Source organism: Homo sapiens, chromosome 2 (assembly GCF_000001405.40).
Source record: "Homo sapiens chromosome 2, GRCh38.p14 Primary Assembly".
Lineage (NCBI taxonomy): Eukaryota > Metazoa > Chordata > Mammalia > Primates > Hominidae > Homo > Homo sapiens.
Genome location: NC_000002.12, coordinates 230,949,542 through 230,972,604, shown reverse-complemented (window position 1 = coordinate 230,972,604; position 23,063 = coordinate 230,949,542). Strand labels below are relative to the sequence as shown.

Here is a 23,063-nt window from a genome sequence, read left to right as displayed (position 1 = left end):
TCGATTGAGCCTGAGAGGTCGAGGCTGCAGTGAGCTGTGTCATGCCACTGTTCTGCAGCCTGGACAAGAGAGCAAGACCCTGTCTCAAAAAAAGGAAAAAAGAATAAAAAAAGACATACCTGAGACTGGGTAATTTATAAAGAAAAGAGGTTTCATTGGCTCTCGATTCCACAGGCTGTACAGGAAACATGATGCTGGCCTTCTGCTTGGCTTCCAGGAGGCCTCAGGAAACTTACAATCATTGCAGAAGACAAAGTGGAAGCCAGCACTTACCACGTGGCCGGAGTAGGAGCAAGAGAGAGAGGGGGGAGGTGCGGCACACTTTTTAAACAACCAGATCTTGTGAGAACTCACTCATTACACAGTACCAAGGAGGGATAGTGCTGAACCATTTATGAGAACTATGCCTTCATGATCCAATCACCTCCCACCAGGTCCCGCCTCCAACACTGGGGGTTATAACTAGACAGGAGATTTGAGTGGGACACAGATCCAAAACTATATCAGCAATTTATCAATGGATAAACACAATGTGTTATCCATTCATCCATTGATGGAAGAAGCACTTGGGCTGCCCCTACCTTTTGGCTATTGTGAATAATGCTGCTATGAACATGGGTGTACAGAAAGCTGTGTGTGGCTTTGCTTTCAGTCCTTTTCAGTGTACACCCAGAAGTGGAATTCCTGGATCATATGGTAATTCTTTTTTTATTTTATTTTATTTATTATTATTATTTTTGAGATGGAGTCTCACTCTGTTGCCCAGGCTGGAGTGTAGTGGTGCGATCTTGGCTCACTGCAACCTCCGTTTCCCAGGTTCAAGCGATTCTCCTGCCTCAGCCTTCCGAGTAGCTGGGATTATAGGTGCCTGCCACTGCGCCCAGCTAATTTTTGTATTTTTAGTTAATTAATTAACTAAATAATTAATAAAAAATAATTATTTTATTTTTAGGGTTTCACCGTCTTGGCCAGGCAGGTCTTGAACTCCTGACCTCATGATCTATGCACCTCGGCCTCTCAAAGTGCTGGGATTACAGGTGTGAGCCACCGCGCCTGGCCTCTATTTTGAATTTTTTGAGAAAATGCCATTCTGTTTCCAGTAGTGGCAGCACCACTTTACATTCCTATCAGTACAAGGATTCCAATTCTTCAATATCCTCTCTTTCTTTCTTATAATAGCCATTCTAGTGGGTATGAAGTGGCATCTCGTGGTTTTGATCTGAATTTCTCTAATTAGTGATGTGCTGAAGTGCATGGCACCATCATAGCTCACTGCAGCCTCAAAATCTTGGCCTCAAGTGATCCTCCTGCCTAGTCTCCTGAGTAGCTGGAAGTATAGCTATGTGCCACTACACCGAGCTAATTTTTTTAATTTTCAAATTGTTTATAGAGATGGGGTTTCACCATGTTGTTCAGGCTGGTCTTGAACTCCTGGCTGCAAGTGATCCTCCCACCTTGGCCTCTCAAAGTGTTAGGATTACAGGCATGAGCCACCATGCCTGGCCAGCCATTCTTCTCTAGAGACATATCTATTCAAGTTCTTTGTTCATTTTTGTATTGTGTTGTTTGTTTTTGTTGTTGTTTTTAAGTTTTAGGAGTTCTCTATATGTTCTGGATATTAATTCCTTATCAGATATCATCACGGATTTTTTTTTTACATGATTTTGAAACTTTTCTTCCTTGTAAAAGTTTGAGATATAAAGAATTCCCAGGCTGGGCATGGTGGCTCATGACTGTAATCCCAACATTTTGGAAGGCCGAGATGGGAGGATTGCTTGAGCCCAGGAGTTCAAGACCAGCCTGGGCAACATAGTGAGATCTCATCTCTACAAAAAATTTTAAAATTAGCCAGTCATGGTGGTGTGCACCTGTAGTCCCAGCTACTCAGGAGGCTGAGATGGGAGGATCGCTTGAGCCCAGGAAGTCAAAGCTGCAGTGAGCCATGATCATGCCATTGCACTGCAGCCTGGGTGACAGAGCAAGACCCTGTCTCAAACAACAACAAAAGCAAAAACAACAACAACAACGACAAAATAATTCCCAAACTGGGCTCTTACTGGAATGACTTATGGTCCAAATGTATAACTGAATTGTGTAACTAAGAATTAAATAGCCATCCTAAAGTTTATTTAGCTTAATATTACAAATGCAAGTACACCAAATAATTTTTATAAGGATTAGATGTCATAAAGTCTAATGTCTGTCATCATACTTAACAGTCTCATTTAAATCTTTATATTGTGTTGCATCATAGGTGATACATTGCTCTTTTTTTTCTTTTCTTTTTTTTTTTTTTTGTGAGACAGGGTCTTTCTCTGTCATCCAGGCTGGAGTGCAGTAGCGCAACCTTGGCTCACTGCAGCCTTGACTTCCTGGGCTCAAGAAAACCTCCCACCTCAGTCTCCTGAGTAGCTGGTACTAGAGGTGCTATTGTTCTTCTTAAAGTTATCTAGTTAACACATTATCTTAACCATCAATCTACTTCCCTATTTATCTGTTGAGAAGCTCTTAATAACTGTTTTGGTACATAAAGTAAATACCTTTCACAATCATCACTAATTATTGGCACATTTTGCTCCAGCAATAATAATGGTGCATTTATACTTCAATGGACTGATAGAACTTCAAAACCTAAAGCACATAATATTTTCTCACTCCTCGTTACATCTCACATGCTCAACTATAATTCAAAGTGAATATGCAGCCTTACCACCGAATTGGAATGGCCTGCCTTGCTGGAGTAACTCCAGATGATATGCAGGCTCCATATCATGATCATTTCTGTGGCCACCTGGTCCCTGATGGACTTCAAGGCAGTGAAGCTGTTACCAGTGGAGGGTGTCCAGGTTCTTGGCATTTTGAACAAAGAGTTGGACAAAACCCACAAACAAAGCAAGGAAAGAATGAAGCAACAAAAGCAGAGATTTATTGAAAATGAAAGCACACTCCATAGGGTGGGAGCGCCCCGAGCATAGGGACTCAAGAGCCCAGTTGCAGAATCTTCTGGGGTCCGAATACCCCCTAGAGGTTTCCCATTGGCCACATGGTGTTCACCCCATGCAAATAAAGTAGTGGCCCGAAATCAATCTGATTGGTTGCAGAAAGCAACTCATCAGAGACTGAAGTGAAGTTACAAAGTTACACTCCTATGCAAATATCTGATCGGTTGCAGGAAGCAACCAATCAGAGGTACTTTCAGTTTTCCAGCAGAAACGGGTGGGTGGTTTTCAAAGGGAGTCGCCCCTGGTCCTTTTGCTACTTAGGTATGGAAAGTTGGGGTTTTCCTTTCAATTTGGTTCTAGGAAGTCAGCGTGAATCAGCCTTAGGTTTCCTGCCTCCAGACCCTAGTCTCCTGCCTCAAAGTGGCCAGTCGGCTCTCGGGCCTTCCCAAGGCAGAAGGTGGAGCTGAAAAGCAGACTTCCCTGAATGCTGAGGCTAAGTTGAAAAGTGGTGTAGGCTCTGTGCAGCCCACCTGAAGAACAGAGGAAGGGAGCACCAGAAAGCTGCTTGGGAGCTGGGTCTCAGGATGCCGGGCAGAGGCGTTTGAGCTTTACCCCTTGGGTGGTAGAGCATGGACCACTGCAGGCTCTCCAGGTCGTGAGTGGGCGTGGGTGGACCCGTGGGCCTATTTGATTTAGTTTCTCTCTCCCACACCATGGGAGCCATCTTCTCCCTCTTGCGACTCCCTGTCTTATAAACCAGAGAAGATGACTAGTGCTTATGAAAAGCACTTTTGTGCTGACAGGTGCCCTAAGGCCACCATCATCATCCGTGAGGATTTCTCTTTTTGTCAGAGTGCTGCAGCAGCTGCAGCCTCATTCAGGGTCTGGCCTGTGTCCCCAGATTGCAGAGGAGAAAAGAGCCAACATAGGCCAGGCACAGCGGCTCACGCCCGTAACCTCAGCACTTTGGGAGGCTGAGGCAGGCAGATCCCTTGAGTCCAGGAGTTTGAGACCAGCCTGGGCAACATAGTGAGACCCCGTCTCTAAAAAAAAAAAAAAAAAAAAGCCAGGATAGGTGGCATGTGCCTGTAGTCTCAGCTACTTGGGAGGCTGAGGTGGGAGGATTGCTTGAGCCTGGGAGGTCGAGGCTACAGTGAGCCATAATTGCATCACGGCACTCCAGCCTGGGAGACTGCTGAAACGCCCCAAAAACAAACAAAAGAACTACCACAGACCCAACAGTACAAAATCCAAAAGACCTGAAAAAGGTATACCATTCAAAATAGGTATCCCTCCCATTCTGTCCTCAGGGTTCCTGTTTTCTTTTTCCCTGAAGGCAACCGGGCTTCCAGCTTCTTATGTGTCCTTGCAAAGATTTTTTTTTAGAGATTGTCCGTACAGTACCTCTACAAGCAAATAAGGATAAATAAGGCCTTGGTTTCTTTCTTTCTTTACATAAACAATAGTGTACCATACACATTTCTCTGTGCTTTCTTTCCACAATATATTTTGGAGCTTGTCCTACATTTGGTCATAAAGCATTTCCTTTTTCTTCCTTGCAGCTGCATGGTATTCCGTTACGTGGCTGTCCCATCGTTTTTTAACCAATCTCTTAATGATGGACAATTGAGTGGTTTCTGCTCTTTTTGTTATCAACAATGTTGCAGTAAATAACTGTGGATTTGTTATTCCACACGTGAGTATATCTCCAGGATGCATTCTTCGTGTAGAACTGTAGGGTCAAAGGGCCTGCACAGCTATAATCTTGATTAATATTACCAAAATTTCCCCCACTAGGATTGTACCCATTTACATTTCCACCGATGATTCTTGAGAGTGCCATTTCCCACTTTACTCACATCATGTGCTGTCAAGCTTTTGAATGGGTGCCAATCTGATAAGATGAAACTGGTACCTCAGTGTACTTTTAATCCTGTATGTTTCTTATTAAGAGTGACACTGAGGCCGGGCATGGTGGCTCACGCCTGTAATCGTAACACTTTGGAAGGCCACGGCAGGCAGATTTCTTGAGCTCAGGAGTTTGAGATCAGCCTGGGCAACATGGTGAAACCCTATCTCTGCAAAACACACAAAAATTAGCCGGGCATGGGGGCACTCACTTTTAGTCCCAGCAACTCAGGAGGCTGAGGCGGGAGGATCACCTGAGCCTCTCAAGAAGTAGAGGCTGCAGTGAGCTGTGATGGCACCACAGCACTTCAGCTTGGGCAACAGATCAAGACCCTGCCGAAAGAGAGAGAAAGAAAGGAAGGGGAGGGGAGGGGAGGGGAGGGGAGGAAGAAAGAAAGAAAGAAAGAGAGAGAAAGAGTGACATTGGTTGAGCAATTTTCTATTGTTTAAAAATCACTGTATTTCTTTTTTTGTGAACCGTCTGTCTGTTCATGTCCTCCTTGCCCCCTTTCTATTGGGTTGTTAGCATTTTCTCACTGATTTGCTTGTATATAAGTGGTGAAAAGTTTTTTTTTTTTCTTTCAGTTTGGCATTTATCTTTTGACTGCTTATGGTGGCTTTACAGAAAGACTTTATTTTTGGCCAGGCACAGTTGCTCATGCCTGTAATCCCAGCACTTTGGGAGGCCGAGGCAGGCAGATCACCTGAGGTCAGGAGTTTGAGAACAGCCTGGCCAACATGGTGAAACCCCGTCTCTACTAAAAATACAAAAATTAGCTGGGCGTGGTGGCATATGCCTGTAATCTCAGCTACTTGGGGGGCTGAGGCAGGAGAATGGCTTGAACCCAAGAGGCAGAGGTTGCAGTGAGCCAAGACACACCATTGCACTCCAGCTTGGGCGACAAGAGGGAGACTCCACCTCAAAAAAGAGAAGAAAAAAAGAAAAAAAAAAGCTCATAGAATAAGGGTACAAAGAAAATATTTTGTGCAGCTCTATATGTTGGTGTTTTATGCTAAGTATTATTATAAAAAAGTCCAAATGTTTTTAAAAATTGAAAAGTTTGTAAAATAAAAAAAGTACAGTAAGCTAAGGTTATGTTATTCTTGAGGAAAGAACAAATTTTTCATAAACGTGGTGTAGCCTAAATGTACAGTGTTTACAAAGTCTACAGCAGTGGTCGGTAATGTCCCAGGCCTTACCGTTCACTCACCAACCACTCACTGACTCACCCAGAGCAACCTCCAGTCCTGCAAGCTCCATTCATGGTAAGCGCCTTACACAGGTGTACCATATTTTTATTTTTCCTACCATATTTTGAACGATATTTTTCTATGTTTAGATACACCATTGTGTTGCGATTGCCTACAGTATTCAGTACAGAAACATGCTGCACAGGCTTGTGGCCTAGGAGCAACAGGCTAACCCATATAGCCCAGGTGTGCAGTAGGCTATGCCATGTAGGCTAACACGTATAGCCCAGGTGTGCAGTAGGCTATGCCATTGTAGGAACCCTACAATGTTCACACAATGAAACTGCCTTACAATGCAGTGTATTAGCTGGGAATTCCAGTATGATATAGAAAGGACTGGTGAGAGAGAACATCCTTGACTTGTTCATGATTTTACGGTAAAACATCTAGTTTTACACCATTAAGTCTAACGTTAAATGTAGGGGTTTTTTGTAGCTGTTCCTCATCAGGTTGAGGGAGTTCTTCTCTATTCCTAGTTTGCTGAAGATTTTGGGTTGTATTTTTATCATGAATGGGTATTGAATTTTGTCAGATGCTTTTTCTCCATTTATTGATGTGATCATATGATTTTTCTTTTTGAGCCTGTTGATGTGATGAATTATGTAAATTGATTTAAGAATGTGAGTCAGATTTGCATACTTGAAATAAATCTCAGTGTTGGACAAATCTGACATTATTGAAAGATTTGTTACCATTTCATTGAGGATTTTTGCATCTTCAATTCTTTTAAACATGTTTATGTTCCATATATGGCACAGAATGTGGTCTATTGTGGTAAATATTTCTGGTAAGCATGAGAAGAATGTGTATTCTACTGTTGTTGGATGAATTTGTTTATAAATGTCTATTATGTCCTGTTGATTGATGCTGCTGTTCAGTTCAGCTATATCCTTATTGGATATGTCAGCTACTGATCTCTTATGTTGAGGTATCCAACTATAAGAATGGATATTTTAATTTGCCTTGCAATTCTACTAGTTTTTGCCTTACATATTTTGACATTGTTAGGTACATATATGTTAAGAATTATTCTATTTTCTTGGGGAATTGATCCCTTTATCACTATGTAATGTTCCTCTTTCTCCCTTATAATTTTCCTTGTTCTGAAGTCTGCTTTATCTGCAATTAATACAGTTGCCCCACCTTTCTTTGATTAGAGTTTGTATGGTACGATGCATCCCATTACTTCTTTCATTTATTTACTTTTTAAAAGTTAGACATTCTTTTTGTGGTGAAATATAAATAACGTAAAAATTACCATCTTAACTATTTTTAAGTGTATAGTTTAGTGGCAGTCATATTGTTGTGCATCCATCACCACCACCCACGATGAGTTCATCTGGGAGACCGATCCATACTAGAGTGCCTCAGAACTCTTTCACCTGGGAAAACTGAAATTCTATAGCCATGAAACAAAAACTAATTATACTTTTCATCTCTGTGAATTTGACTACTCTAGGACATTGGAGAAGTGAAATCATACAGTATTTGTCTTTGTGTGACTGGTGTGATAACAAAACTATCACAAAAGGCTCTGTAAAAACCAAAACCTTGCACAAAAGCCATTGTAACCTTACACAAAAAAATACTTCCGCAAGGAAATCTGCCCAGCAAAGCTAAATGTTCAACCTTGGACAGGCATCACCTTTGTTACTGACTCTTGTAGCCAAGGATAATCATTTCAAAACAATCATATTGAGAGGTGACAGCGTGCTGGCAGCCCTCGCTCGCTCTCGGCGCCTCCTTGGCCTCTGCGCCCACTCTGGCCGCGCTTGAGGAGCCCTTCGGCCTCCCGCTGCACTGTGTGGGAGCCCCTCTTTGGGCTGGCTGAGGCCAGAGCCGGCTCCCTCTGCTTGCGGGGAGGTGTGGAGGGAGAGGCGCGGAAGGAGAGACGCGGGTGGGAACCGGGGCTGCACGGGGTGCTGGCGGACCAGCGCGAGTTCCGGGTGGGTGTGGGCTTGGCAGCCCTGCAGTAGGAGCGGCCGGCCGCCACCACCAGTCCTGGGCAGTGACGAGCTTAGCACCTGGGCCAGTAGCCACAGAGAGTGCGCTGGGTCCCCCAGCAGTGCCGGCCCGCCCACGTTGCACTCGAATTCTCGCGGGTCCTCAGCTGCCTCCCCGCAGGGCAGGACTCAGGACCTGCAGCCTGCCATGCCCGAGCCTCCCCACCTCCGTGGGCTCCTGCTCCGCCCGAGCCTCCGTGGCTCTGGGTCCCATCACCGCCCAAGGTGCTGAGGAGTGCGGGTGCACGGTGGGACTGGCGGGCAACTCCGCCTGTGGCCTTGATGCAGGATCCACTAGGTGAAGCCAGCTGGGCTCCTGGGTTTAGTGGGGACTTGGAGAACCTTTATGTCTAGCTAAGGGATTGTAAATACACCAATCAGCACTCTGTATCTAGCTCAAGGTTTGTAAACACACCAATCAGCACCCTGTGTCTAGCTCAGGGTTTGTAAATGCACCAATCAGCACTCTGTATCTAGCTAATCTAGTGGGGACATTTATGTCCAGCTAAGGGATTGTAAATACACCAATCAGCACTCTGTGTCTAGCTCAAGGTTTGTAAACATACCAATCAGCACCCTGTGTCTAGCTCAAGGTTTGTAAATGCACCAAGCAGTGCTCTATGTCTAGCTAATCTAGTGGGGACTTGGAGAATTTTTCTGTCTAGCTCAGGCATTGTAAATGCACCAATCAGCATGCTGTCAAAACGGACCAATCAGCTCTCTGTAAAACAGACCAATCAGCTCTCTGTAAAATGGACCTATCAGCAGGATGTGGGTGGGGCCAGATAATGGAATAAAAGAAGGCTGCCCAAGCCAGCAGTGGTAATCCGCTGGGGTCTTTGTTTCCACTGTGGTAACTTTGTTCTTTCACTCTTTGCAGTAAATCTTGTTGCTGCTCAGTCATTGGGTCTGCACTGCCTTTATGAGCTGTAACACTCACTGTGAGAGTCTGTAGTTTCACTCCCGAGGCCAGTGAGACCCTGAACCCACCAGAAGGAAGAAACTCCAAACACGTCCGAACATCAGAAGGAAGGAACAAACTCCGGACATGCCTCACTGCAAGGGTCACCGGCTTCATTCTTGAAGTCAGTGAGACCAAGAACCCACCAATTCTGGACACAATATAATCCTCATTCTTCCTCCTTGAATATGCAGTTTACTGTGGCACACACATTCCCACTGCAATGCTCTATTCCTGAATAAATATCTTTTTCTTTTAGAGAGCCTTTCTCTGTTATTTAGGTTGACAGTTTTTAACTGTCTTTTAGTATATCTTTGAAATTTTGGTTGAAAGCTGGACATGATGTATATGATAGTAGGACCTGAAGTAAATCGGCCTTATTGTGTGAGGTTTTATGTTAATCTGACTAGTAGCTGGGCCGTGTTTAATGTTTCCTATAGCTGTAGGTGCCAGAAACTTTAGTTTCCTCTAGTTTCAGGTATTTTTTTTTCTCTTCTGTTTTGACTTTCCCTGAGAACTCTTATTATTTTTTTTGAGATGGAGTTTTGCTCTTGTTGCGCAGGCTGGAGGGCAGTGGCGCCATCTTGGCTCACTGCAACTTCTGCCTCCCAGGGTCAAGCAGTTCTCCTGCTTTTCCTGAGTAGCTGGGATTACAGGTCCCCACCAACATATCCAGCTATTGTATTTTTAGTAGAGACAGGGTTTCACCATGTTGGACAGGCTGGTCTTGAATGCCTGACCTCAAGTGATCACCCACCTCAGCTTCCCAAAGTGCTGGGATTACAGGTGTCAGCCATTGTGCCCAGCCAAGAACTCTTAAATAACGTAAATATCTTAAATAACTCTTTCCGTTATAGTCTACTTTTATTATGTTGGAGCCTGTTGATGTGGGGTGGGTGTCTCCCCCAAATTCCTGTTCACCTGGAAACTCAGAATATGAGTTTATTTGGAAATAGGGTCTTTGCAGATGGAAGTAGTTAAATTAAGATGAGGTCTTGCTGGATTGGAGAGGTCCTTAAATCCAATGACATGGTCTTATAAAAAGAGGGGAGGATACATGGAGACAAAGACACAGAGGTGAAGGAATTCAGAACATTTCACCCCAAAATGTGTCACTCTGATGCAAGGATTATTTTGCACTAAAGGCACTTAACTAGCAGGTTTAAGAAGTTACTCTGGCCCTCCCTATTTTTTTTCCTAAAAGCAGGAGATAAAACCCTCTTGGAAGGCAAAACCCTCCTGGTAGGTAAAATCCTCCTGGAAGGACGATAAAACCTTCAATATGGAAGATGTCTTCCCTATACCAGGAGGAAAGTAAGGTTTTATCATCAAGAACAAAAAGTTGAAGCTGAGATAAATCTACACAAACAAACTTTGTTAACCTGACCCTTATCTTCCTAGTCACTTTTCTACCCAATTAACCACCCTAGTACAAGCCCCTTTGCCTTATCATATTTTCACAGTTTTACTATTCTGTGCCCAACTCAGCATATAAATGTTTAACTCTGATTACTTTTTTTGAAAGGTCTTCATGTCTGTTGTCCCCAAAAATCATATATCGGAAACATAATTCCCAGTGCAACAGTGTTGGGAGGTGTTTAGGTCATGAGAACTCCACTCTCGTGAATGAATTAATGATGCTATAAAAAGCATCACCTACTCTGCTTTCCACCGCATGAGGACCCAGCGTTCATCCCCTCGGGAAGACGCACCACTCAAAGCACCCTCTTGAACTCAGAGTCTGGACCCTTACCAGACAACGAACCTGCCGGTGCCATGATCTTGAACTTCCCAGGCGCCAGAACTGTGAGAAATAAATTTCTATTCTTTATAAATTACCTGGTCTGTGGTATTCTGTTATAACAGCACAAAATGGACTAAGACAATTTTCTTATGAAGGCTCCCATGACACATAAATCTTATATTAAATACATTTGTATACTTCTCCTGTTCATCTGTCTACATCTGTTTAATTCTCAGGCCCCACTGAAAGCCCTAGTAAGGTAGAGGTCAAATTTTGTCTCTCCTCCAGAGAGAAGGCCATGTGATGGTAGAGGCAGAAGTTGGAATGAAGCAGCTCCAAGCCAAAGAATGCGGAGAATTGCCAGCAACCACAAGAAACTAGGAGGCAAGGAAGGCTCCTTCCCAGCACCTTCAGAGGGGACATAGCCCTGACAACTTCCGGGCTGCAGAACTGTGAGACAATACATCTTTGTTGGTTCAGCCACCCAGTGTGTGGTATTTTATGGCAGCCCTAGCAAACTAATACCATAAGGTACTGGGGAGGGGAGGCATTGTGTAATCTTACAATTAAATCTCAGTGGGCCAAGTCCCTGCTGTGGCCTTTCTCTTTTTCTCCCCCGATGGAGACTGGAAGGCTAGAGGGGGCCTGAAGTTATCTCATTGCCCTTCCCCTAGGGCAGATAAGGCCCTGGTAAGGCAGTGTCCTTTGATGAGAACACTTAAGGAGAACAGAATGCTCTGGGCTTTCAAAATGGTTACTTTTCGGCTGGGCATGGTTTTAAATGGTTACTTTTCCTCTCCTGTTGCCTGAAGCCTGGGGATTTTTCTCCTGTCTTCACAGTGAGAAACTGGTGACCTTCCTGGAGGTAACCCCAGGAAAATGTGGGGCTTCCCTACTACAGGGACCCCAGGACTTTATGACACTTAAGCTAGCCCAAACACTCAGCCTCCAGCAATTCGTCAGGTACCATGTAAGTGCTCCTACAAGTTGCCGGCTCCTGGGTGGCTTCTGCTTCTGGAAGGTAAGTCGTGGTTCTCTGTATTCCTCTGTCTCTTCTATTTTTAGGGTGGGTGCTTTGCCTGTGACTACCATTCTCTGCAGAATCTAAGAAAAGTTATTGCTTTTCAGTTTGTTCGCTTTTTTCCTTGTAAAAATGGAAGTAATGACGTCCAGGCTCTTTACTGTGAGAGCTGTCTTACGGTGATTTTTTTTTGTTGTCATTCAGAAGTATTCGTGGTTTTATACTGGGATTCTACCTCCCTACTAATTCTTTTTCTCCTTCCCAAGGTATTTTTTTTTCCTTGCTAAAGACTATAGGAAAACATCTGAGTAACAAAAGTAAGACACAGGAAAGTTACAGAGGCCCAGAATCATAAAAACTCAGAGTACTGGCTTTCAGGTCTATGATTCTGCCTTCCCTTTTAGAAATTACTGGAAGCCTCAGTAACTTCTGTATCTTACCTTCCTGGCTGATGGTCAGTCCTCTTATACTGGTACTGCACATTTCTTATCTTGTCAGTCTAAAAAGTTGTTTCCTGTATGTTTCTTTGTCTTGAGCTCACTTTGTAAGCAACTTGAGGTCCAAGGCTCAGCCTTCCCTGACCTTGACAGCTTCCTGGAGTCTTGTGCAAAGCCAGTTTGTGATTAAGGCTCTGGGACAACGGGTCATCAGTTGAATTATATTCTTTCCTCCAGTTGGTTTGGTGTAGAATAAGTCAAATATATTTCTAAATTGCTTCTTGCCAGCACCTAAGCCCAGGCATGTACTGGTGGGTCTACTCTATGATCCAGGCTCTGATAGGGACGGGCAACCCCCAGGGAGAGCTTTTCTGAGTCTGACTTCTATGTCAAATATATGTCCAAACCCCTATTTCTCTTTAAAAACACTTCATATATCTGTCTCACAAAACCAATGCATGTGCATTGTAGATAACTTGGGAAATACAGGTAAGTGTATAAAGACAAAAATGAAAATGATCTATAAACCCATAGTCACTATTTTGATGCAATTCTTCTGGCCTTTTGCATTGCTAATACTCAGAGAGAAGGATGAAGGGTTGTTTAGCAATCAACAAAAATCAAGAATTACTGTTGCTCTGATTGTTTTCTGTGCATACAAAAAAAAAAATAATGCAGTGCTTTAGGAATGTGGCTGGGCAGGAACATGACTTTCGAAGTCAAATGCATCTGAGTTCAAAGGTCTGTCACTCACTGGACGTCCTTGGGCAAGCTGCTTCTCTGCGCTTCAATTTCCTCATCTGAAAAATGGGCCTGCTATCACCTACCTCATAGGATTGCTGGGAATAACTAAATGATTTTATGTATGTAAAGCAACTTTTTTTTTTTTGAGACAGGGTTTCACTCTGTTGCCCAGGCTGGAGTGCAGTGGCGCAATCACAGCTCACTGCAGCCTTGACCTCCCTGGGCTCAGGTGATCCTCTTGTCTCAGCCTCCTGAGTAGCTGGGACTATAGGCATGCACCACTACACCCAGCTAATTTTTAAATTTTTCTTCTAAAGACAGGGTTTCACCATGTTGCCCAGGCTGGTCTCCAACTCCTGGGCTTAAGTGATCTGCCCACCTTGGCCTCCCAAAGTGCTGGGATTACAGGCGTGAGCTAGGTGCCTGGCCTGTTGGAAGCCCTTAAACCACAACACTGGCAACAAAGTATTCGATAAATGGAGCAGCTGGAGGAGAAAAAGTGTGAGGAGGAGGAAGAAAAGTAGGAACCAAAGCTATGCTGATTTCCATTTTTGGAACTGCTGTGACCTCACACAGCACACTGTACTTCTCATTGTATTTCCAGTGGGAGAGTTCCTGCTGCTTGAAATGTGATTTATGACAGTTATAAACCAAGATTTCAGCTTGTCTTCATGGAAGAATGCCGGCTAATAAAGATAGAAAGAATGATAGAAATAGATTATCACTATTTTGTAAAGACCCTCGTTATAACTGATTCAGAAAATATGGTCAATGGGTGCTAAGGCCATAGGGTGAGAGGTCCTTGGGTATGGGATATTTACACATTACCAAACTACCATTTTGCAGATTATGTGTTAATTACAGTGGAGAGATCTTTTGGACATCACCTTAACTAAATGATCGAAATTAGGTTTATAAAATAAAAGACAAACATTGCATGTTCTCACTTACTTGTAGGATCTAAAAATGGAAACAATCGAACTCATGGAGGTAGACAGTTAGGATGGTTACCAGAGTGTGGGAAGGGGAGTGGTGGTGGTTGCAGGGGTGGGGGCACTGTCAGAGGGAGGTAGGAATGGTTAATGGGTACAACAAATAGAAAGAATGAATAAGACCTACTTTTGATAGCACAACAGGGTGACTATAGTCAATAATAACTGAAATGAACATTTAACAATAACTAAAAGAGTATAATTGGAATGTTTGTAACACAGAGGATAAATGCTTGAGGGGGATGGATACCCCATTCTCCATGATTTTACAATTGCATGTCTGTATCAAAACATCTCATATATCCCATAAATATATACACCTACATTGTACCCATAAACATTTAAAAAAATTTTTTAAAGTTAGGTTTACAAATAATGAGACTAACATTATATGCCTGCTGATGTGATAACAGTAGTACTCTCTTATGTGTGGTTTCACTATCCTGAGTTTTAGCCACAGCCTGAAAATGTTAAATTTAAAACTCCACAAATAATTCAAAAATTTTCTTCCTTTCTTTCTTTATTTATTACAACTTAAACTTTATTTACTTGATTGAGAGCTTATTGTACATAAAATGTTTTATGTGGTTGAGCTTAGCTTTGTTCACACTGACTTCAGGGAGTCTGATTTCTATGCTCAAGATTGTTCAATTGCTGCTGTTGCCCTTGGTTTCTTTTCTTTCAGGATCAAGATGGGTACTTTCACATAATATCTTATTTTTAATTCCTTCTCTGGCAATTCTTTCCTGGATTCTTTGCTTTGCATAATTATACCTACAATGAAACCAGCATCCCAAAGTCACCAAGATAAATCCTCCTACTCCAACATCACATGATTTTCTAATTCTACTAGTTAACAAAAAAAAAGTCCAAAGCCAGCCACAACAGATCCTAATGAACCATACAATATTGAATCCCGGGCACAGGGAATATTTTCAACACCTGAAATGCCTAGGAGCTTAAAGAGCTTCCCCTTCGCGGGCTCGCCGGGCTCCGGAGCGGCGGCCACGGGGACGACTCCCCGCCTCCACCCGCCCAGCACCGCCGGCGCCGCGGGAGAAGGAAGACCGGCCAGCCGCGCCCCTCCCCGTCCCGCCCAAATTCACAAGTTTTAAATCACGCGCTGTTCTGAGCAGCGCAGTGAAATCTCTCGCTGTCCCGCTCCATCCTGCTCAGGAGGTGAATCATCCCTCTGTCCCGCGTATCCATGCTGGAGACACCACCGGCCGTCAGTGATCGACTGTCATGGTATCGCAGTGCCGGTGTTCAAGGAACCCTTATTTTACTAAATAATGTCCCCAAAGCACAAGCGTAGTGATGCCAGCAATTCGGATATGCCAAAGAGAAGACCTCAAGTGCTTCCTTTAAGCGAAAAGGCAAAAGTTCTCAAGAAACAAAATCATTTGCTGAGATTGCCAAAAATCTATGGTCAGAATAAAATTTCTAATTCTGAAATTGTAAAGAAAGAAAAAGAATGTGTGCTGGTTTTGCTGTTGTACCTCAGACTGCAAAAGTGATGACCACAGTGCGTGATAAGTGCTTAGTTAAGACGAAAAAGGCATTACATTCGTGGGTGGAAGACCTGAACAGAAACTACTTCTGATTGGCGGCAGTCAGGCTTGGTACTCTCTGCAGTTTCAGGCATCCACAGGGGGATCTTAGAACTGAAAAAAAAAAAAAGGTTAATCTGAATTACATCATGAGGCAGTAATTAGGCAAATAGAGATTCCAGAATAGTCCGTTAGGCTCTCCAAGAATGTCAACGTCATGAAAGACGAAAAAAGGTAGGGAGACAGCTCTAGATGAAAAGGTATTAAACAGTCAAATACAACACATGAACCCTGATTAAATGCAAGATAAAGATTTTTTTAAAATACAGATTATGAGATAATATTATTGTATCCATGTTAAATGTTAAATTTCTTCATTGTGATCATGGTATTGGGTTATGTAAGGAATGTTCTTCTTTTAGGAGCTGCAGGTGAAGTATTTAGGGGTGAAGTGAGCATATGTCTGCAACTTACTCCAAACGCTTCAGCAAAAATGTATATATATTTAGTGAAGGGTAATTGGGTGTTTGTTTAACTGATTTTCAACTTTTCTGCAAGTTTGATATTTAAAAAAATTAAAAGATTGCCAGGAGTGGTGGCTCATGCCTATAATCCCAACACTTTGGGAGGCTGGAGGCGGGTGGATCACTTGAGGTCAGGAGTTTGAGACCAGCCTGGCCAACATGGTGAAACTGCCAACTCTACTAAAAATACAAAAAATTAGCTGGGTGTGGTGGTGCATGTCTGTAGTCCCAGGTACTCGGGAGGCTGGGGCAGGAAAATTGCTTGAACCCAGGAGGCAGAGGTCGCAGTGAGCTGAGATTTCACCACTGCACTCCAGCCTGGGCAACAGAGTGAGACTCTATCTCAAATAAATAAATAAATAAATAAATAAAGTAAATAAAATAAATTTGGGAATAAAATCCTGCTTTCAGGTAAATGTTAGAACAAGACCTCCCACTGTCCTAGCTATTGGGATTCTCCTAAGGAGAATTAGGAATCCTCTAGTTTAAAGACACTGGTGTAGTTGGGCATGGTGGCTCATGCCTATAATCTCAGCACTTTGGGAGGCTGAGGAGGGAGGATCACTTGAGGCCAGGAGCTTGAGACCAACCTGGGCAATATAGTGAGACCCTGACTCTACAAAACAATTTAAAATTAGCCAGATGTGGTGGCACACGCCTGTAGTCCCAGCTACTCAGGGGACTGAGGTGGGAGGATTGCTTGAGCCCGGGAGGTCAAGGCTGCAGTGAGCCGTGATCACACCACTGCAGGCACACTCCAGCCTGGGCAATGGAATGAGACCCCGTCTCAAACAAAACAAAACAAAACAAAACAAAAAGACACTGGCATAATCTTTTCTGGCTGTGTTTTCCCATATGAGTCTCCTTTATGGTCTACCATTTAAGTGTAATCCTTCTCTACATTTGAATTGTATTTGATTTGCTTTACAATTCTAAGAAGTTTCCATTGAGCTGATGTTTAATAGGCCCTTGAGTAGTGATACTGCTAATGTGCTACCAGATTTAGTCACTGGAACTGTCTTAACAGGCTGGAGAGAATGTAAGGTGAGAAAAGCCTGTGTCTGTGTTGTGGGAATTCTGTACAGTTATGTTAAGGTGAGCAAGGAATCTGTGTGAAAGCCACTTTCTTTCCTGAGAGCATCTGATGCACTGTCACGTGTGCCCATAACAAGGACTCAGATATGCTGTCACATCAAGGAGACATGGAAAATAGGAAGTCAAGACCTTTCTACTGGGTAAAAATGAGGAGAAATTTCCTTAAGGAAATAACACAAAATAATTAGACAGCTAACAACATTTGTTGTTTGTATTATCTGACAAAATTTCAACAGTGGATTGTGAATTATTCTTTTCTTTGCCACTCAAAGTAGATGGAGATCATAATTTCACAGAAATGGTATATGAGTTGGGATGCTAGCTCTTGGTGACAGATTACTGTCACATAGTAAAGGGATAAACATAGTGGGAGGAATTCAAAAGATGACTCTGTCCCTAACTGTAATTGCATCAAGGGATGACATGTTAGTTTCTTTTCACTTGCCAATTCCAATTGTTGGATGAGGATTGCTTAGAAGACTATATTAAGGATTCCTGGGACACTCCAGGCTCAGGGAGAAAGAGTACAGTAATTGATTAGTGATGTCTGTCATGACTTTTTTGAAAGAGTGCAAGTGGCATGGAAGCCATATTTGCTAACTTTGAATTCCAAACACAAACTAAATTGAATGCTTAAAAAACACTAACACCTTCAAGAAAGCATTTATTAAAGTAATGATCATTGGCCTTGGTTAGTGGGTACAAAAAAACAGAAAGAATAAATAAGATCTAGTATTTGATAGCACAACAGGGTGACTATAGTCAATAATAATTTAATTGTACATTTGAAAATAACTAAAAGAGTATAACTGGACTATTTGTAACACAAAGGATGAATGCTTTAGTTGATGGATACCTCATTTACCCTGATGTGATTATTACACATTGTATGCCTATATCAAAATCTCATGTACCCCATAAATATATACATCTACTATTACCCACAAAAATTAAAAATAAAAAGTTTAAGGCCGGGAGGCTTCGGCCAGTGGCATGGAAAGGAGGGAACTAAGACTGAAGTCTGAAAGCCAAGCTTTAAATCCAACAGAAAATGAACTAGAAGAGAGTTAAGCCGAGTCCTCTTCAGGACACAGAATGATAGCCAGCCCAGAGCAGGGGCTTGGCTCTGTCACTGTGGAAACACAGAGAAAGTTCTGGCTTGGATGGGGTGTTGGCAGTGCCATCTACACTGTGTCAGGGGAAGGGGCAAGGAGACCAGGTGCAAGGATGCACGTGGTCCACCTGATGCCAGGGGCAGCTGTTGTGGGCACGATTACGGGGCTGCATAGCCAGGGCTGTGAAACCTTTGCATCTCGGAACTTGCTCAGAAGCCCTCTGTTACGATTTGGCTTCCTGGGCAAGACAAGGTCCGTTGATCAGAAGCCAGTGGGAAGCTGTGGTTTCCAGAATGAGCTCAGCTAACATAAGCTTGCTCCACAGGCCTGCTCATCAGACCTTGGAGCCTCTCAGGCTGAGGACTCGCCTTGGGGATCCCCCACCAGGAAGGTGGTTCCAGGAGACCGGGGAGGTGGAGGGGACTGCCAGCCTTCATCTCCTGGCCGTGTGCAGACTCACACCTACTCATGCTCCTGGTTTTTAAGAAGATCCACACTGGACAGATGTGTATGCTGGATGCTTCCAGCCTCTCCAGTTTCCTAGGAGATCCTGCTCTTTAATGCCCTCCTTATAATCAGCTGAGGGACACAGGATGTACAGGGTTTTACCAGGTTCTTGTCCCCTGATAGTGTCTGGGAAGATGTGTTTATTTCCCCTTCCTGCTGTAACACATTGCCATATATTAAGTGGCTTAAAATAACACAAATTTATTATCTTACAGTTCTGTAGGTTAGAAGCCCAACACAAGTCTCACTGGGCTAAAATCAGGGTGCTGGCAGGACTGTGTCCTCCTGGAGGCTCTAGAGGAGAACCTGTTTCTCTGTCTTTCCAGCTTCCAGAGCCAGTTCTTCCTGCAGCCCTTGGCTCATGGCCCCTTCTTCCGTCTTCAAACCCAGTAACAGTGGGTTGAGTCCTTCTCACATCCTATCCCTCTGTCTCTTCTGCCCTACTCTCTACCTTCAAGAACTTTTGTGATTACATTGGGCCTATCAGGATAATCCAGGATAATTGGCAACCTTAATTCCATTGACAACCTTAATTTGCCATGTAATTTAACATACTCACCAGTTCTTGAGATTTGTACCTAGACATACTGGGACAGGGGAGATTATTCTGCCCACCTCAGAAGCCCCTAACAATGCTCCAGGATCCACACAACCACCACCTCCACCTGGTTGCTGCTGGTCACTTTAGCCAGCCACCTCTCCTTCCTTCCTTCTGGCCACCTGGGAACTAGCTTTTCTGGGGTGCGCATGCTTCCTTAGCCACTGCACCCAAGGATGGACCCAAGTATCACTCTAATTCCCCAAGGCCCAGCTGAAACAGAGGAAAACATCATGGTGACAACTGGCAGCAGAGGTCCTCATAGCTGGGGAAACACCTTGGCAACTGTTAGGGCAAATGGCGGAGCAGAGGACGCAGACATCGGCCAGCACCTGGGCCACCATGCAGAGGCTTCAGCTGCTGGAAGGAAGGAAAGAGGAGGGGGAGAGAGAAGGGCCAGGAAGGCAGAAGGTGAGAGAAGCCTGCCTCCAAGAGGCTGGCTCCTGTGGGGGCCGGCCTGAGGATGTTCCCTGGGGACAGGGTGGCCGTGGGCCATTTCAGCTGTGCAGATGCCCGATGGAAGCTTGTGTTTCTGTGATGTGAAATCTCCCTGTCTCTCTGCAGTCCCTGAGCTTCAGAAACGCCCATGACACCTTGTGGGCAGGGGTTCTCTATAGGACTCCTGGAAGAGTAGACAAGTAACTGACAAGCGGCACCATGGGAAAAGCAGAGGCTGTAGAGGTGTCAGCAGCCCTGCCCTGGGAATGTGCAGAAAACTTGGGAGGGCATTGGCCATCCCCAGATCACACAACAGGACATCCCACGGAGGGCTGTGGCCTTCCTTAGCCCTCTGGGCTCACAATGAGCCAACCTCATGTAGAGTTCAAGGCACGGCCAGGCTCCAGCTGACTTCTGGATCACACCTGCTAAGACCAGGTAGTACCTTTTAATCCAATATTATTACTGAAGGCTTGGGCATAAGAAGAGAGCACTTTAGCATAGAAGGAGCATTCCAAAGTGCTCACCAGGATTGTGGCTCCTGGCACACAAGCTGCGCCCGCCCTCAGGCTTTCCCTGTCCCTATAGGCCTTGGCCTGCTGCCTGCAGGAGGGTTTGCCCACATGTCCTGATGAGAGCTCAGGTGACCATGTCGTCTCTATCTTTGAGGTCTAGTAACCCCCCCTCCCTCTCCAAATGTACCTTCTCTTGCTGGATGTGGTGGCTCACACCTGTAATCCCAGCACTTGGGAGTTTGAGGCAGGAGGATGGTTTGAGTCAGGAGTTTGAGACCAGCCTGGGCAACATAGCAAGACCCCCGTTTCTGCAAAAAAATTAAAAAAAAAAAAATTAGCCGGGCCTGGTGGTATGTACCTGTAGTCCCAGCTGCTCAGGAGGCTGAGGTAAGAGGATCATCTGAGCCCAGGATGTTAAGGTTGCAGTGAGCCATGATTGTGCCATTGCCCTCCAGCTTGGGCAACAGAGCAAGACCCTGTCTCACAAAAAAAAAAAAAAAAAACCCCAATAACAACAAAAAACCCACAAATGTACCTTCTCTGGGCCTAATGAAAGGGAAAAAAATCCCTGCTTACCCTCAGTTGTCAAGATCCCAGCCAACTCTAAGTTGTGAATGGTACAAAGCGGAGCTGTCAGCCTTTTGAACTCCTCTGGGTCAAAGGGTAGGCTATTTTTAAGGCCCCTGGTATGTGTTGCCAAGTTGCCTTCTAGAAACCACATAGGCTGCCCTCTTCCCTAGACATCTGCCAGCACTAAGCATTGCCATCTAATAAATCTCTGCCAAGTTGGTATGAAAAAATCTCATTTTCATTTTTAGTTCTTTGATTACGTGTGTATATTTTAAAAATATGCATATTGTTTCAGGGAAACACTCCCAAACCATGTTTTTCCTCTGTTCTCACACCACCACGACAACAATCATCAACACAGAAGGAGAATTCTGGGACCAGATGTGTGGGGGGTTGTCCCACTAAGCCGCGGACAGCAGCGGGGTGTCCTCCAGTTCAATTCCAACACTGTCTACCTGGAGATAGTCTTACAGCCCACAGGTTGAGGGCTCAGTCCCAAGACTATCCCTGACCCAGACACAAGTCTGGCCCTTCGGAACTTCTGACCGACCAACTTCAAGTTGGGGTTCCCACAACGCCCTCTTTGGGTTTGATCAATTTGCTGGAGTGACTCACAGAACTCAGGGAAACACATTAGCCCGTTGATTCTAAAGGATGTTACAAAGGACACTGATGAAGAGATGCACAGGGCAAGGTATAGGGGAAGGGGCATGGAGCTTCCAGGAACCTCCGTGTGCTCAGCTCTCCGGAAGCTCTCTGAACCCTGTCCTCTTGGGGTTTTTATGGAAGCTTCATGATGTCAGCGTTCCTTCTCTCAGGGCATAGGACAGAACCCTCTCTGGGGAGAGTCTTAAGACCCACAATCAGAAAGGCGGGGGAAGATACGAGTCCTGCCTTGCGGCAGGTGAAAGGAGAGCTGGAGAAGGCCAGAGAGATTCTGTTTCCTGAGGCCTAACACAGCCACTGTCATAACACGAGACTGTAACAGGGACTATGGGGGTTCCGAGCCAGAAACTGTGGACAAAAGCCAACACGTGTGTACTTATCATAACACCACACATGTCACTTCTTGTGAATGATATTAGTAATAATGAAAAACCTATTTCCAGTGTCGCGAATCTCTATTTAGATGTGAGAAAAAATGTTTGACTTATGTGAAGCAGAGAAGGTTTCCTTATCTGTGCAGCTCTCGTTATGAGGTCTGAGGCTGGAGTGCGGGAAAGAAGAGCAAAACGAGAAAAACAAAAAAGAGGGGAAAGAGAAGATGAGAAGAAAATAAAAGTGGCAAGAAGAGATAAAAAGACAAAAAAGCCAATTGCTCTAATTGCTCTGCGTCTTGTCCTGGGTGCCATGCCTGGGAGACAGGCAGGTAGGCGATGGGCTGAACAAGGTCTGTCCAGCACACTCTGCATTCTGCCACATCATGTGCAGGCCAGTGGTTCCCAGACAATGTGGCTTCAGGACCCCTTTACACTCTTAAAAAGTGTTAAGGATCTCAAAAAGCTCTTATCTATGTAGATATCTATCAGTGTTTCCTGTGTTAGAAATTAAAACAAAGAAACTGGCTGGGCGTGATGGCTCACGCCTGTAATCCCAGCACTTGGGGAGGCCGAGAGGGTGGATCACGATGTCAGGCGTTCAGCCTGGCCAGCATGGTGAAACCCCGTCTCTACTAAAAATACAGAAAAATTAGCCAGGCGTGGTGGTGGTTGCCTGTAATCCCAGCTATTTGGGAGGCTGAGGCAGAGAATTGCTTGAACCCGGGAGGCGGAGGTTGTAGTGAGCCGAGATTGTGCCACTGTACTCCAGCCTGGGTGACAGAGCGAGACTCTTGTCTCAAAAAAAAAAAATAAATTTAGTGAGAAGAGAAGCATTATTTTTACATTTCCACAGATCTCTGTGATGCTGGGCTTTATGAAAGATGGTTGGCCTCTCCTATCTCTATTCAGTCTATTGTGGTATCACACAGCATACAGCCTCCAGAAAACTCCACTGTACACTCACTAAAGGAAGACAGTGGAAAAGGAAATACTAACAACATTTCAGTATTATTATGAAAATAGTTTTGACCTTGTGGATCCCCAGAAAGTGTCCCAAGACCACCCTTCCCCACAGAGTGCCTGAGCCACACTTTGAGAAGTGCTGATC

At 44.3% G+C, this 23,063-nt stretch overlaps 1 protein-coding gene and 1 pseudogene across 1 annotated transcript in view, besides 5 other annotated features; one reads left to right on the top strand and one right to left on the bottom strand.

The window, feature by feature from the left end:
* The window catches only part of GPR55 (G protein-coupled receptor 55), a 53,874-nt gene continuing 42,214 nt past the window's right edge, over positions 11,404-23,063 (top strand). The window contains exon 1 of the mRNA XM_011512175.4: positions 11,404-11,830. The gene's annotated coding sequence lies outside the window, so the exon portion shown is untranslated. The remainder of the gene's footprint in view (positions 11,831-23,063) is intronic.
* COX20P2 (COX20 pseudogene 2) lies at positions 14,526-15,065 on the bottom strand (annotated as a pseudogene).
* Positions 14,938-15,037: a silencer, noted in NCBI's record as "silent region_12422". NCBI's record gives its function as "represses an Ori minimal core promoter by ATAC-STARR-seq in GM12878 lymphoblastoid cells {active_cell/tissue: GM12878}" and the evidence as "EXISTENCE:reporter gene assay evidence [ECO:0000049][PMID:35858748]".
* Positions 21,787-21,846: an enhancer, noted in NCBI's record as "active region_17267". NCBI's record gives its function as "activates an Ori minimal core promoter by ATAC-STARR-seq in GM12878 lymphoblastoid cells {active_cell/tissue: GM12878}" and the evidence as "EXISTENCE:reporter gene assay evidence [ECO:0000049][PMID:35858748]".
* Positions 21,977-22,026: an enhancer, noted in NCBI's record as "active region_17266". NCBI's record gives its function as "activates an Ori minimal core promoter by ATAC-STARR-seq in GM12878 lymphoblastoid cells {active_cell/tissue: GM12878}" and the evidence as "EXISTENCE:reporter gene assay evidence [ECO:0000049][PMID:35858748]".
* Positions 22,217-22,286: an enhancer, noted in NCBI's record as "active region_17265". NCBI's record gives its function as "activates an Ori minimal core promoter by ATAC-STARR-seq in GM12878 lymphoblastoid cells {active_cell/tissue: GM12878}" and the evidence as "EXISTENCE:reporter gene assay evidence [ECO:0000049][PMID:35858748]".
* Positions 22,497-22,546: an enhancer, noted in NCBI's record as "active region_17264". NCBI's record gives its function as "activates an Ori minimal core promoter by ATAC-STARR-seq in GM12878 lymphoblastoid cells {active_cell/tissue: GM12878}" and the evidence as "EXISTENCE:reporter gene assay evidence [ECO:0000049][PMID:35858748]".